Source organism: Homo sapiens, chromosome 13 (assembly GCF_000001405.40).
Source record: "Homo sapiens chromosome 13, GRCh38.p14 Primary Assembly".
Taxonomy (NCBI): domain Eukaryota; kingdom Metazoa; phylum Chordata; class Mammalia; order Primates; family Hominidae; genus Homo; species Homo sapiens.
Genome location: NC_000013.11, coordinates 48,329,552 through 48,346,636, shown reverse-complemented (window position 1 = coordinate 48,346,636; position 17,085 = coordinate 48,329,552). Strand labels below are relative to the sequence as shown.

General features: G+C 35.3%; 1 protein-coding gene across 4 annotated transcripts in view; it reads right to left on the bottom strand.

Moving 5' to 3' along the window:
- Window positions 1–17,085, bottom strand: part of RB1 (RB transcriptional corepressor 1) — a 178,140-nt gene that overhangs the window by 135,254 nt on the left and 25,801 nt on the right. For 3 of the 4 annotated variants that reach the window (NM_001407165.1, NM_000321.3, NM_001407166.1), the window contains exons 3-4: window positions 3,923–4,038; window positions 1,438–1,557 (exon numbers count right to left, since the gene is read on the bottom strand). In NM_001407165.1, coding sequence (NP_001394094.1) covers window positions 1,438–1,557; window positions 3,923–4,038 — 236 coding nt within the window. Of the gene's footprint in view, window positions 1–1,437; window positions 1,558–3,922; window positions 4,039–11,724; window positions 13,621–17,085 lie in introns of those variants that run through there. The other variant, NM_001407167.1, reaches the window with a different exon arrangement.

Genomic DNA, 17,085 nt, shown 5'->3' with positions numbered 1-17,085 from the left:
GTTTAGATATGTTTAATATGTATTGTTTAACTTCAGCTGTGAATATCAGTTGTTTCCAGTTTTTCAGGGGCCTAAATAATATTGTACCAAAAAAACTCTAAAGCAACATTGTATTTAGGATCATATTAAAATAAGCTACCAGATATGAATTAAAAAGGTTGTAAACAAGTTTAAAGAATAGAAAAAAATTTAGAAAGTCACAATTAGGTAAATTTTAAAAGCCACACACACACACACACACACACACACACACACACACACACACATATATATAATATTCTACTCAATGTGAAACAATACCCAAAGGAAAGAAACATTCTAAAATATGAAAAGTGATTCTCTCCACTGTTGACATTTTGGTCGATTCATATTTTATTTATGCCTTTCTGTGTTTTCCAAGTATTCTATAATTAGTTCATGTTTGTTATGCAAATTATTTAGATAATTTATCTCCATTAATAATTAAAAATTTCCCTTTTTCTTGTGCAAAAAGCTTCTATTCTCATCAAGAAAAGACCAAAAAAAAAAAAAAAAAAAGATGGCCAATGCTACCATATTACAATTAAAACCAGGGGCAAGAAAAGACAGTCCTTCAAAAGCCCTAGGCCTTTGAGTTTTTTCTCTAATTTTTCTCATCCTCCACCACAGTTGTGAAGTTTTAGTGGTCAAAAAAGAAAAAGGGGGAGAAAATAGAGCCATCCTCCTAAGGAGATGCTTCTTTCCACCTCTATCTCCATCCTCATTCTCTCCAGAATAGGGCCATGCCTCTTTTACCCTTCTCCCTTTACCATGCTATTACACAATTGCTTATTTAGCTAACACTGTAACTTTCATATTCTCTTAACCGCAAATGAAATGAGCCTCAAAACAAACATGATAACAGACATATGCCAAATTAAGGGCTGAAACATTTGGGGTAGGGAAGTACAGTTTTGATGAAAAGTATAGAAAAAACTTAACCTAAGCATATTAATTATGCTCCTACTCGAACTGTAATGGAAAAAGTCCTCTAAGCCACCATTGGGAGTACAAATCATTACTTTATAGTATAGGTCACATACACCATCCATTGCAAGTGTTTTCTCGTTCCAAACTAAATAACACTATTAGGAAGAAGTTTAAATTTATGTCACCATTCTATTCAGAACTAGAAGTTTTCTGGCAAAGAAGGCTAAAATGGGAGATAAGCTTAAAGTTTTTGAAAACAAATGGAAGACATGAAAGGATAATAAAACGGTTAATTTTCCAGGAAGCATTCAGAATGCATATTACTGGATAAATAAGAAAGCTAAGAATTAATGAGCTAACATTAAAAGGGACAAGTCTAAGAATTAATACTTACTAACTTTACTAAATGTGTTAAATAATTCCCAGAATCTAATTGTGAACAATGACATAAAAAATCAGAGTGTAAACCTAATAAAATGTTTACTTTACCTTTCCAATTTGCTGAAGAGTGCAAACAATACATCATACTTCTTCAACAGTCTTGACATAGCATTATCAACTTTGGTACTGGTATCAATTTCTTTTAGTAAGTTAAAGAATTTATGGACACTACAAAGGAAAGAATAGAAAAAAGTAAATCAGTAACCTTAAAAATTTGTGTTATTTCGTTTTCAAATCATAGATATTTCAATTCAAAAGATTATCAGCTCTACATCAAATCACTACTATATCCTTTGGAAGGAATTACTTTTTGCAAAAATAATTAGCCTTCAACTTACACCTCTATTATCTATATACCTATGCTTATATCTATTCATCATTGAGAATATAAGAAAACGAAGGGTCAAGAAGAGATATGCGTATATTTATTCTGTATCTGTCTATGTGTTTTAAAAAACATGAGTTCACATCCATTCATCCAATTCCAATATAAAACCATATGCTTCATTTTAGTGTTTCCCTTTCTATATTTGTAACTCTTCATTGACAGTGGGAAACCTGGAACCCATTCATCCTCAGTTTACTTACTCATTTAATCAATCCCCCTGTAAGTAACCATTTTCTATCTCCAAAGCCACCCCCTCCCCCGTGTGGACACTTTTCTGTTCTTCTCAGAACTGACTCCCAGTTCTGGACTTACCCCACCCCTTAGCATAGACACTTCCTCACTGTGGAAGGGTTCTGACTCCCCACAGCAGGCTGCCCTCCTCACCTCACTTGTGCACCGGCTGCCTGCACACCCTGCTTAGTCTCTGACACTGCACACAAAGCAGCCCCATCAGGTTGCCCCCACACAAAGGATGCCCTCCTCACCCTACTTTGACTCTAACATCCTGCTCTGGGCCCTGTGGCACCCTCCTGTCAGAGATACACACCAAAATGCATACTTTATTTGCCCCACCAATGATTTTAGAATTGAATTATTTTTGGAAAAGGAAAGTTGATTTAAATAATTTAAGCAGTTTAAATAATAACTTTAAATCACTCTTCGTTACTCTTTTCCATAAAAATTAACGTATTTGAAACATCAATATATACATTTTCCAATAGGATATTAAAGATAGCAATCATCAACTACATCTCACATGCTAATTTCTAATCATGAATTTTGTATAAGGAATTATACCAAAGCAGCTAACTGAAACAAAAGATAGTCACCTGACCCATCCATAGGCTGTCCAGCAACCAATGAGTTATAGCCCTCACTCAAAAAAATGGGCTGGACCAATCAAACACTGGGGAAATAAAAGCTTCAGCTAATCAGCAGGGGAACCAAAAGGTTATTAAAGTTCCTATGATACAGAAAGGAATGGGGGAGCCATGACAAGCTATGTGAAAAAGCAAATAAAGAAAGAGTAGAAATGACAAAGAATAGAAGATCAGAATGTTGATTAGAAGAGAAAAGAGAAAGGAACAAAAGTGCAGATATATCCAAAGAAAAAGAAATCAGCCTCAGAATAGCATTTATTAAAGAACTACTCTCAGTTCCAGTTTTTTTGAGGTATATGGCAATACCTGTCCTGAGATTACCATGAAAACTGAATTGTTACAACAAAGCCTTTTTTCTAGGGGAAACTTAAGGGAAGAAAACAAGGAAGGGAGAGAAGCAGTGAGTGCCTGTGGTGTTGCAGGTATTGACTCTATGAACTATTTATGTCATTTCTATTATTTTGTATATTTACAAATATACAAGGCCTTTGTTTCCACATTTTATTTAGATATAGCAAAAAAAGTATTTCAAAAATGCAACAATTTAATCTATCTCGTTTAAATAAAATATCAATTATGTTTAATTCTAGATGTCTTTGTTCAAGGAGAAACATAATTACCTATTTGGTAAAAATACATACTGTTGCATTTTTGTAAATATGTTGCAAAGAAAATGACTGGAAGTCCTGGATACTTTCTGAAGATAAAGTTCATACATTATTGAAAACACATTAATAAACTCTTCTTATGAGGCTTATAAACTCAACAACAAACACCTATTAAGTAATTAACTGGTTCAAGTATTGTAGCATGTTCAAATCAATATATAATCTGAAAAAAAGCATTTAGTTATAATATCCTCTAGTTAAAACAATCTTAGGCTTTAATAAATCTTACCTAAATACCTTTAAGATAAACTCAAACTACTTATATAAAGGTTTTAATATAAAACAAGCCTATTTACAAATCCTTGCTTTTCTGTTCACTTTATTAACAGCCACAATTAAGAAAGCTTACACATGAATAGTGAGAGACACAATGAAAATTTTTCCAGGACACAAACTGCTACCTCTTAAAGAAATACAGCATAAATACACTTTCATAACGGCTCCATGAGAGAATGGCAGTTCACTATTTGGTCCAAGTTCTTTTTGTTTTACTTTATTTTAGCATTTCTCACTAATTCACAAAAGTCTATTGAGAGGAAAATCCAGAATTCGTTTCCTTTTATGGCAGAGGCTTATATTTATACAAGAAACTTTACCTGATTTCTATGTTTTTCTGTAGCTCAGTAAAAGTGAACGACATCTCATCTAGGTCAACTGCTGCAATAAAGATACAGATTCCCCACAGTTCCTTTTTCTTTTGAATATAACCTCCCTGGGAACAAAAAATAAAGATCAAATATTTCATTAAATAATTCACACACTGGATACTATGTTAAAACTGTATTATAACTGATTTTTTCTTATTCAGCATACAAAATAAATGTTTGTAATACTGTATATTTGTAACACATCCTTCTGATGGCATATATTTGAAAGGATTTCATTTCACACTAATAACAAACATTCAAATTTTATATTATAAGGCAAAAAAGTATTAGAAAGATAAAAAATTAAATAAGTTATTGTGGAAACTTTAGGGGTCAGTCAATTCCTCAAAATAGTTTCATTTTTCAATAATCCAATGTCACTGAAGCTAAGTTAAGAGATCTAGAGTCCATAACATATAATTTGTTTGAAAAAAACAAGCCCACGTTCTTATTCGCTTATTCTTTCCTTGCTCTATTCATTCATTCCTTTTATCAATTTATTTATTCAATTATTTTTAACCTTGTATTTCATGTTTCAGTTCCTTAACTGTCTTTGTAAAATCAAAATAAGAATATGTACCCCATTTTGTAACAATTAAATGAAATTATATTTATAAAGCCTTTGGCGTAGTATATAGTATACAGTCAGTTCTTAATGATTGATGGCTATCATTATCACTAGAGTACTTTTTCATTATCTTTAGAACACATTTTTCCCCACAATATATACCACCCCTAAATATTACATTTTATGGGTAATTTTGGATTACATTAAGTTGGAAACAAAAGAAATGTCAAATTAATGTTCATTAAATAGTTGGAACTATTTACTTACTCTTAACTGGAGATTACAATAGAGCTAAAAAGCATGTAATACCATCTTACATTATTTTGAAATATCAATTATATAAAAGCTTTAGGATAAGTGAGTTGTTCCAGATTACCAAATTTTACAGGTAATTAAAGGTTTACCACCATCCAACTCTAAACTTTTTCTTAATTTTAGCTACTTGGGATGTAAATATTTTACAACTTAAATTACAATTATACACCCACTAGAATAGCTAAAATGTAAAAGACTGACAATATCAAGGGTCAGTGAGGATGTAGTGCAATGGAACACTTAAACATCACTGGTGAAAATGTAAAATGGCACAATCATTTTGGAAAACAAGTTTGGAAGTTCTTATAAAGTTAAATATGCACTTTTCATAACACATAGCAATTCTACTCCCAGATATTCATACCCAAGAGAAATGAAAACATTATATGTGAATGTTCATAGCAGCTTCAGTCATAATGGCCAAAAACTACAAACAACCCAAATATAAAAAAAAAAGAAGTGCATGGAAAAATAAATTGGGGTATATCCCTACAATGGAATGTTATTTGAAAATCAAAAGGAAATGTCCTAATATATATAACAATATAGATAAATCTCAAAATTATTACACTGAGAAAAAGCCAGACTCAAAAGGATGCATTGAATAATTCCTTTCATATGAAATTCTAGAAAAGGCAAAACCAATCTTTAAAGTCAAAAAGTAGATCTGTAGTTGCCTGCGGAACAGAGGGGAGGTGTTGGGAAATGACTGCAAAGGGGAATGAAAGAACTTTCTGGAGTGATCAAAAAGTTCTATATCTTAATGGTGGTGATTATATGAGTGAATATGTCTGTTAAAACGTATTGAACTGTGCACTTAAAATTGGCATATTTTGTGTATGTAAATTATACCTCAATAAATCTGATTTTGAAACTATGTTACATACTTACTGTTTCTGAAATTGAAGATACAAAGTATACACTGCTTCACTGTTTTCAAGACTAATTAAAAATATATATTTTAATAAAATGAACAAAAATCAACTTCTGTATTTGTGTTTATGTTAATATGGTCAATTTCTTGGGAACTAATAAGATGTCAAAGGTTGTTTGTCTCTTTAATAAATAACCCCAACTACCATAGTCTTTAAATTTTTATGCTTATTTCTTACCATTTTGGTTTGTTTCTTTGCACTCAGGCAATAACTGCTCTCAATATATGTCCTTTCATCAATTCCAGCCTTTTTTTTTCTCTCTCTCTCTTTTAAAGATTAAAAAATGAAGCGAAAGTTGCTAAAATTTAGTATGTTGTTTATTCATTTTTTTAAAACAGCGAATTTTATTAGAACATTTAGTAGTCAAAACAATGAAACACAGGATCATCTGATATGATAAAATGCATAAGTGAAATGTTCTACAAGTAGGTTCTGATTTTTAAGGACCTGAAGAACTTTCCTATGAGCAAAATGTAACCTTTATTTCAGATGCAGCTTGTGTTTTGACTTCCATAAGAAGTATATTTCAAGGAATAGAAGTTTTTAATTTTGATTAAGCTCAATTTATTCATTTTTTTTCTTTTATGGGTTATGTTTTCAGTGGTAGGTATCTATGAAATCTTTGCCTAACCCAAGCTCATTAAGACTTTCTCCTATGTCATCTTCTAGAAGTTTAGGTCTATGCTTCATTTCTGGTTAGTTTTTATAAATGGTGTGAGGTAAGGATTGAAGTTCATTTTCTGCATTTGGATACCCAATTGCTCCAGCATTATTTGTTGAGAAGAATATCCTTCCTCCATTACCTTCGCACCTCTGTAGAAAATGAACTTATAATAATATATATATGTGGGTCTACTTCTGGATTATCTGTTCTGTTCCATTGATTTACTTGTCTTTTTTCACCAATATCATAACGTCTTCATTATTGTAGTTTCATATATTTTGTTCATTTTAGTTGAGTTTGATTCAAAATTTTTCAATCTAAAAAAGTCATTGGATTCACTTCTCATCATACAGATGAAAAATTAAAGACTAGAAGATGGCCGAATAGGAAAAGCTCCAGTCTACAGCTCCCAGTGTGAGCGATGCAGAAGACAGGTGATTTTTGCATTTCCAACTGAGGTACCAGGTTCATCTCACTGGGGCTTGTCAGACAGTGGGTGCAGGAAAGTGAGTGCAGCCAACCAAGTGTGAGCCAAAGCAGGGCGAGGCATCACCTCACCTGGGAAGCACAGGGGGTCACGGAATTCCCTTTCCTAGCCAAGGGAAGCTGTGACAGATGGCACCTGGAAAATCGGGTCACTCCCACCCTAATACTGCGCTTTTCCAATGGTCTCAGCAAACAGCACACCAGGAGATTATATCCTGTGCCTGGCTCGGAGGGTCCCACACCCACGGAGCCTCGCTCATTGCTAGCACAGCAGTCTGAGATCAAACTGCAAGGCAGTAGCGAGGCTAGGAGAGGGGCGCCCGCCATTGCTGAAGCTTGAGTAGGTAAACAAAGCGGCCAGGAAGCTTGAACTGGGTGGAGCCCACCGCAGGTCAAGGAGGCCTGCCTGCCTCTGTAGATTCCACCTCTGGGGGCAGGGCATAGCCGAACAAAAGGCAGCAGAAACCTCTGCAGACTTAAATGTCCCTGTCTGACAGCTTTGAAGAGCGTAGTGGTTCTCCCAGCATGAAGTTTGAGATCTGAGAATGGACAGACTGCCTCCTCAAGTGGGTCCCTGACCCCTGAGTAGCCTAACTGGGAGGCACACCCCACTAGGGGCAGACTAACACCACACGCAGCTGAGTACCCCTCTGAGACGAAGCTTCCAGAGGAACGATCAGGTAGCAACATCTGCTGTTCAGCAATATTCACTGTTCTGCAGCCTCCACTGCTGATACCCAGGCAAACAGGGTCTGGAGTCAACCTCCAGCAAACTCCAACAGACCTGCAGCTGAGGGTCCTGTTAGAAGGAAAACTAACAAACAGAAACGACATCCACACCATACCCCCATCTGTACGTCACCATCATCAAAGACCAAAGGTAGATAAAACCACAAAGATGGGGAAAAAACAGCAGAAAAGCTGAAAATTCTAAAAATCAGAGTGCCTCTCCCCCTCCAAAGGAACGCAGCTCCTCGCTAGCAACGGAACAAAGCTGGATGGAGAATGACTTTGACGATTTGAAAGAAGAAGGCTTCAGATGATCAAACTTCTCCGAGCTAAAGAAGGAAGTTCTAACCCAACATAAAGAAGCTAAAAACCTTGAAAAAAGATTAGACAACTGGCCAACTAGAATAACCAGTGTAGAGAAATCCTTAAATAACCTGATGGAGCTGAAAACCATGGCACGAGAACTACGTGATGAATGCACAAGCTTCAGCAGCTGATTCGATCAACTGGAAGAAAGGGTATCAGTGATGGAAGATCAAATGAATGAAATGAAGCAAGAAGAGAAGTTTAGAGAAAAAAGAGTAAAAAGAAACAAATAAAGCCTACAAGAAATACCGGACTCTGTGAAAAGACCAAATCTACATCTGATTGGTGTACCTGAAAGTGACAGGGAGAATGGAACCAAGTTGGAAAACACTCTGCAGGATATTATACAGGAGAACTTCCCCAACCTAGCAAGGCAGGCCAACATTCAAATTCAGGAAATACAGAGAATGCCACAAAGATACTCCTCGAGAAGAGCAACTCCAGGACACATAATTGTCAGATTCACCAAAGTTGAAATGAAGGAAAAAATGTTAAGGCAGCCAGAGAGAAAGGTAGGGTTACCCACAAAGCGAAGCCCATCAGACTAACAGTGGATCTCTCAGCAGAAACTCTACAAGCCAGAAGAGAGTGGGGGCCAATATTCAACATTCTTAAAGAAAAGAATTTTCAACCCAGAATTTCATATCCAGCCAAACTAGGCTTCATAAGTGAAGGAGAAATAAAATCCTTCACAGGCAAACAAATGCTGAGACATTTTGTCACCACCAGGCCTGCCTTACAAGAGCTCCTGAAGGAAGCACTAAACATGGAAAGGAACAGCTGGTACCAGCCACTGCAAAAACATGCCAAATTGTAAAGACCATCGAGGCTAGGAAGAAACTGCATCAACTAACGAGCAAAATCACCAGCTAACATCATAATGACAGGATCAAATTCACACATAACAATATTAACCTTAAATGTAAATGGGCTAAATGCTCCAATTAAAAGACACAGACTGGCAAATTGGATAAAGAGTCAAGACCCATCAGTGTGCTGTATTCAGGAGATCCATCTCACGTGCAGAGACACACATAGGCTCAAAATAAAGGAATGGAGGAAGATCTACCAAGCAAATGGAAAACAAAAAAAGGCAGGGGTTGCAATCCTAGTCTCTGATAAAACAGACGTTAAACCAACAAAGATCAAAAGAGACAAAGAAGGCCATTACATAATGGTAAAGGGATCAATTCAACAAGAAGAACTAACTATCCTAAATATATATGCACCCAATACAGGAGCACCCAAATTCATAAAGCAAGTCCTTAGAGACCTACAAAGAGACTTAGACTCTCACACAATAATAATGGGAGACTTTAACACCCCACTGTCAACATTAGACAGTTCAATGAGTCAGAACGTTAACAAGGATATCCAGGAATTGAACTCAGCTCTGCACCAAGCGGACCTAATAGACATCTACAGAACTCTCCATCCAAAATCAACAGAATATACATTCTTCTCAGCATATCACACTTATTCCAAAATTGACCACATAGTTGGAAGTAAAGCTCTCCTCAGCAAATGTAAAAGAAAAGAAATTATAACAAACTGTCTCTCAGATCACAGTGCAATCAAACTAGAACTCAGGATTAAGAAACTCACTCAAAACCGCATAACTACATGGAAACTGAACAACCTGCTCCTGAATGACTACTGGGTACATAACGAAATGAAGGCAGAAATAAAGATGTTCTTTGAAACCAATCAGAACAAAGACACAACATACCAGAATCTCTGGGACACATGTAAAGCAGTGTGTAGAGGGAAATTTATAGCACTAAATGCCCACAAGAGAAAGCAGGAAACATCCAAAATTGACACCCTAACATCACAATTAAAAGAACTAGAGAAGAGCAAACACATTCAAAAGCTAGCAGAAGGCAAGAAATAACTAAGATCAGAGCAGAACTGAAGGAAATAGAGACACAAAAAACCCTTCAAAAAATTAATGAATCCAGGAGCTGGCTTTTTGAAAAGATCAACAAAATTGATAGACCACTAGCAAGACTAATAAAGAAGAAAAGAGAGAAGAATCAAATAGATGCAATAAAAAATGATAAAGGGGATATCACCACAGATCCCACAGAAATACAAACTACCATCAGAGAATACTATAAACACCTCTACGCAAATAAACTAGAAAATCTAGAAGAAATGGATAAATTCCTGGACACATACACCCTCCCAAGACTAAATCAGGAAGAAGTTGAATCCCTGAATAGACCAATAACACGTTCTGAAATTGAGGGAGTAATTAATATCCTACCAACCAAAAGAAGTCCAGGAGCAGATGAATTCACAGCCGAATTCTACCAGAGGTACAAAGAGGAGCTGGTACCATTCCTTCTGAAACTATTCCAATCAATAGAAAAAGAGGGAATCCTCCCTAATTCATTTTATGAGGCCAAAATCATCCTGATACCAAAGCCTGGCAGAGACACAACAAAAAAAGAGAATTTTAGACTGATGTCCCTGATGAACATGGATGCAAAATCCAGAAAGACCTCTATGCAGCATCTGACACTGTTGCAATTTTTCTCCTTCAGTATACCTCCATGCAACTTTTTTCAGTAGCTTTTTTAAATGCCCTCACATCCTCATTCTCTTCTCTTTTCCTCTCACAACTTTTTCATGGGGTTTCTCAACTCCATGGGCTTTTTTCCCACCATTCTCTTTTTTCCTCAGCACTCTCATCCACTCCTACAGCCCTCATCATCTCATATACAGATGATTCTCATATCTCATTCTGCTTTCCAGCCTGATTCCTCTTTTAAGGTCCAGGTCTCCTTTTCCAACAACAATTTGCAACCTAAAATCTGTAACTGATGTGTTTTCTTGAAAATTATGAAAAGGACTCAGGATAGCACTTTAAAAATTGTTGAAACAGAAGAAAAGTAATTCTTACCTAGCCAAAACAATTCCCCCACACACACCAAAAAAAGAACAAAAAATGGGGGGAAAATGGGCAAAGAACAAGCACTTTGCAAAAAAAAAAAGGTACTTTCAACAAACATATTTTCAACAAACATATTTGAGAATAATGTCAATTGAAGGACATTTTGTTAAGGTACATAAAAATCCTTAAAATACCTCAGTTTTATAGCTAAGAATTTAACAAGTAAAAATAGAGTTGAGTCAAGATTTAGAGTAACAGAACTGCATGCTTGCATCAGGGCATTTCATATGTCCCATAAATGTGTACACTTGATATGTACCCACAAAACTTAAAAATTAAAAAAAGATTTAGTGTAATAGATGTTTGAAAAGTTATTTATAATAGCAAAAATAGTAGGAAGAGCCTAAAAATCTTAAAACAGAATGGTTAAACATATTGTGATAGAGCTATATCATAGAATAATATAAAAACCCAAAACAGTTTCAAGGAATATTAAAGGGATATGTAAAAATACCCAACATATAACGTTAAGAAAAAAACAGAATAAAAAGTTCTGCACATATTTTGATTCCAATTTTGTGAAAAAACAAAAAAGAAGAGAAAATGAAAATATATATTAAAATGTTCACGATTATCTCTACATGGTAGGATTACGAACAGTTTTCATTTTCCTTATTAATCCTGCATACATTTTTTAAATTATCTACAATTGTAAAATAGGAGAAAAGTCAATAAGTGCTACATTTACATAAAGCAGGAGAGAGAAAAATTAGAAATACTCGAGAAAAATCTTTATCAAAATTTTAATCACATACATTACAGTTTAAAACAAAATCTACACTCAGTACTTGAAGAGATTACCAATTATACCATCATTTAGTTGAGTTCATTTGAACCAATCTAATGATAACCCCTAATTAGTGACAACTTATACTCGCTTTTTTAAACAATGCACTTACTTATAAAAGAGCTCCACCAAGTGGTGACATAAATCATCCTGGAACTATCAGAAAAGTACTACTATGTATGCTGTCACAACTGACATAAATTTAAGTTGCAATTTCAAAAGTTAAAAATAATGTTCTATCTAGCTTGCACTTTGTGAAATATGAAAGATGAAAATAAGTCATAAGAAACATGTGCTTTTGTGCTCTACCTCAGGGTCAAAAGATATATCCTTACGCATAGTTCATGAGACTGTAATAAGTAATTAGCAGTAGGGTTACATTAAATGAAATATGAAGGTATTACAGAGAAATAGGGGGAAGAACTGCCTTTATCTTTTGCTCCTAGATTTCCTCCTTACCTAGGTGATACGTAGGAACAGAAGGAATAACAGGCTAAGACGCTAGAAAATTTCACCTGTATAATATGAGCTTACAGCAGTCTAGTGTTAAGGACATTCTTGGATGTGCACAGAAGTAAAAGGCAAGAGTGGCAAAGCCAAGAAGAGGAATGTAAAAACTGACCTTACTTGTACTCAATCACATTTTTGAAACAACATGCAGGGGTGAACACCATGTGAATCAGTCACCCAGTTACACAATGCCTTTGTGGGTAAGAAAGTTGATTCTATTTCCAGAAAAACATGTACCTGGCAAATTCAGATTTACCTGGCCATCTGCCCAAAAGTTGAGCACCTGGGACTCCCTCCCTTAAGAACTCTTACAGATCATGCAGCATATGATCAGAAAAATTAAAATAAATTTGAAAAACTCCTATGGAACTCAGTTCATAAACCTGTCAGCTCTTAACTGAACTGTGACTTGCTTGCTTGCTCATTTGTCCCTATCTCAACTATGAATATGTAAGCATCCTGAAGGCAGAAATATTGTATCTAATTCACTACTTTACCCCAAGAGCCTTGTAGTGTCCAGCACTAACACTAGCGTAGTTCTAAAAAGGAAAAAAAAAAAAAGTTGTGGCAGTAGCTACAGAGTGGCTTTTTCTCTCTTTGTTTTTTTTTCTTTTTTTTCTCCATATGCTCAGAGAAACAAGCAGCAACTGAACCACCAAAGTGTAAGTTAAGACTGTTGGTTCCACTATAGTTTCTTCAGCTCCCATTCACACATTAATAGCAAACTGGTAAGTATCAATAAGGGTAACACACACACATACACACACACAAAGAACGACATTACAGACCTCATTTTCTGAACAGATGATACATAACCTACCTAGAACTAAGTTTCTGGTCAAGCTCTCTGCTTAGATTATTGAGCTCAAAGCCCAAAAATGATCCATCCAAAAAGGTATAACCATATAGGAAAGAAAACTGCCACCATACTCAAAGGGCTACTAATTAGCTTTTCTGAAAAATAGCTACAAAACTGATATCTACTACTCTTGGAAACAAGGTTGAAAACCATTGAGTAAGGAGATTAATTCCTACAACTCAGATCCAATTATATGGATTAACAATATCAACTCCTTTTACCAAATATGACATGTGCTGTTTCAAAAAAGGAAATCACCAACAAACAAATGAGGTCACATTTTTTTCCAGCTTTATGGAGGTACAATTGACAAACGAAAAAGTTTATATTTAAGGTGTTCAATGTGATATTTTGATACATCTATACAATAAGAAGTGATTACATCAGTCATTCCATATCCACGGTTTCACTTTCCACAGTTTCAGTTTCCCATGGTCAACCATGGTTTGAAAACAGGTGAGCGGAGTACCTATTTTGAGAGAAACAGACTACATTCACATACTTTTTATTACAGCATCTTGTCATAATTGTTCTATTTTCTTAGTCATTGTTACTAATCTCTTACTGTGGCTAATTTACAAATTAAACTTTAATGCAGGTATATATGTACAGGATAGGAAAAAACATAGTATATATAGGGTTAAGTACTATCTGTGGATTCAAGCATCTACTGAGGGTCTTGGAACATATCCTCTGAGGATAAGGGGGCACTACTGCACTACAATTAAGCTAATTAACATATCTATCACTTCACATAGTCACCATTTTGTCTGTGTGTATGTCGTAAGGATACTTAAGATTTCTCTTAGTGAATTTCAAGAATACAAAACATTATTATTAACTATAATCAACCATGCTGTAAATTAAGTGTCCAGAACTACTACTTTTTTTGTTTTTGTTTTTGAGACAGGTCTCATGACAGGGTCTCACTCTGTCACCCAGACTGGATTGCTGTGGCACAATAATAGCTCACTGCAGCCTCAACCTCCTGGGTGCACAAGCACTCCTCCTACCTCAGAGTCCCAAGTAGCTGGGACTACAAGTACATGTCACCGCCTGTAAAATTTTTTTTAATTTTTCGTAGAGATGGGGGTCTCCCCATGTTGCCCAAGTTGGTCTCTAACTCTGGCCTAAAGCAATCCTCCTATCTTGGTCTCCAAACGTGCTGGGATTATAGGCGTGAGCTGCCACATCTAACCCTTATTCATTTTATAACTGAAAGTTTGTACCCTTTGACAAACATCTCCACATTCTCCCCAGGCTCCCCACCCCTGCTAACCACCTTTTTACTGTTTGTATGTATTTGACTTTTTAAAGATTTTACATATAAATGAGATCATGCAGTATTTGTCTTTCTGTGTCTGACTAATACAACATAATGTCCTTCGGGTTCATCCGTGTTCTTGCAAATGGCAGGATTTCCTACCTTTTTTAAGGCTGAATAAAATTCCAATATATATAACAGATAGTCCTTGACTTACAATGGTTCAATTTGCGATTTTTCAACTGGGTTTGTCATGATCTTAATGCAATTTTAACTTAAGATATTTTTGACTTACAATGGGTTTATCAGGATATAACCAATCATTAGTTTAAAACAATCTGTACCACATTTTATCTATACATCTAATGACAGACACTTAGGTTGTTTCCATATCTTTGCGACTGTGAATAATGCTGCAATGAACATGGGAGTGTATGTATCTCTTCAACATACTGACTTCATTTCCTGTGGATATCTACCAAAAGGTAGGATTGCTGAATCATGTGGTAGTTTTAGTTTTAATTTTTTGAGGAGCTTCCATACTGTTTTCCATAAAAGACATACCAATTTACATTCCCACTAACATTGAACAATAGTTCCCTTTTCTCCACATCCTCTCTAACATCTGTTATCTTCTGACTTTTTGAATAATAGCTGTGAGTCCTCAGAGTCCTGAGGTGGTGCAGGGTATCGCATGGTGAGAGAACTGAGCATGCTAAGATGTTAGCTTGGGATAAAGCCACTGATGCCACTCTCAGGAAAACCAATTAATCCATGAATAGATTGATCCATTCATAAAGGCAGAGGCCTCAGGACTCAATCACCTCTTAAAGGCCCCATCTTTAATACTACCATATTGGGAATTAAGTTTCAACATGAGTTTTAGAGGGGGAAAACATTCAAACTGTAGCAAATGTCTTTTATTTCTTTTTCTTGCCTAATATCTCTGGCTAGATTTCCAGTACTATGTTGAATGCAAGTGACAAATGATCCTTGTCTTGATCCTGATCTTAAAGGAAAAGATTTTAGGTTTCCCCACTGAGTATAATGCTAGCTGTGGGCTTATCACGTATAACCTTTGTTGTGTTGAGGTACATTCCTTTTATACCTAACTTGTTGAGAGTTTTCATCATGAAAGAATGTTAAGTTTTGTCAAACACTTTTTCTGGATCTATTAAGATGATCACATAATTTGTCCTTCATTCTGTTGAAGTGGTATATTTATAGATTTGCATATGTTGAACCATCCTTGAATCCCAGAGATAAATCCAATTTCATCATGATGTATGATCCCTTTAATGTGCTGTTGCTAATATTTTGTTGACAATTTTTGCACATATGTTCATCAGGGATATTGACCTATAATCTTCTTTTCTTGTGATACCCTTGCCTGACTTTGGTATCAAGGTAATGCTAGCCTTGTTAAATGAGTTTGGAAGTGTTTCCTCCTATTCAAATTTTTGAAAACGTTTGAGAAGGATTGGTATTCTTCAAATGTCTGGTAGAATTCACCAGTGAAGCCATCAGGTCCTGAGGCTTTTCTCTATTGGTAGATTTTTGATTACTGATTCAGTCCCTTATTTGTTATTGGTCATTCAGATTTTCTATTTCTTCTGCTATTCAGTCTTAGCAGGTAGTATGTGGCAAACAATCTGTCTCTTTCAGGTCATCCAATTTGTTAGTATATAATTTGTTCAAAGTATTCTCAGGATTCTTTGTATTTCTGTGATATCAGTCATAATGTCTCCTCTTTCATTCCTGATTTTATTTATTTGAATCTTCTTTTTTTCTTATTCTAGCTAAAAGTTTATCAATTTTGTTTATCTTTTCAAAAAAACTCTTCATTTTGTTGCTCTTTTCTATTGTTTTTTGAGTCTTTCATTTATTTCTGCTGTGATCTTTCTTATCCCCCTCCTTCTATTACTTTGGGCTTATTTGTTCTTTTTCTACCTAGTTCTGAGAGATGTAAAGTTAGGTTACTTATCTGGGGTCCTACTGTTTCCTTCATGTTGGTGTTTATCACTATGAAATCTCCTATTGGAACTGTTTTGCTGCATTCCACAAATCTTGATGTGCTGTTTCCATGTTCATTTGTATCACATTTTTTTTTTTTAATTTCCATTTTGATTTCTTATTTGACTATTGGTTGTTCAGGAACATGTTTAATTTTCACATATTTGAGTATTTCCCAGTTTTCCTGTTATTTTTGCTTGCTAGTTTTATGCCATTATGGTGAGAAAAGATGCTTGATATTATCTCAATCTTCTTAAATATATTAATACTTGTTTTATGGCCTGACATATGATTGATCCTGGAGAATGTTCCATGTATGCTCAAATATAAAGGCATTCTTTCTATGGTAGTTGTCAAAATTGGTGTTTCTGAAGGACAGCGCTACTATTCCACCATCTTGCTGACATCAGCTGTCTAACCATTCTTATTCTACACAATGCTGAAAATTATCTTAAACTGACATTTCCACTTTGGGGAATATGTCCTGAGGAGGTACCAAGACAATAGAGGAAAGAATGGGTCTTTCCAAAAGAGCAATGAGTTGGCATTGGAATAAGAGAATTCCAAGTTGAAAGAGAACTGAAAGAGATCATTAACCATTAAGTCTCGTGGTCTGGGAGTTTCTAGGGTTCCAAGTCATATAATGATAATCTGGCG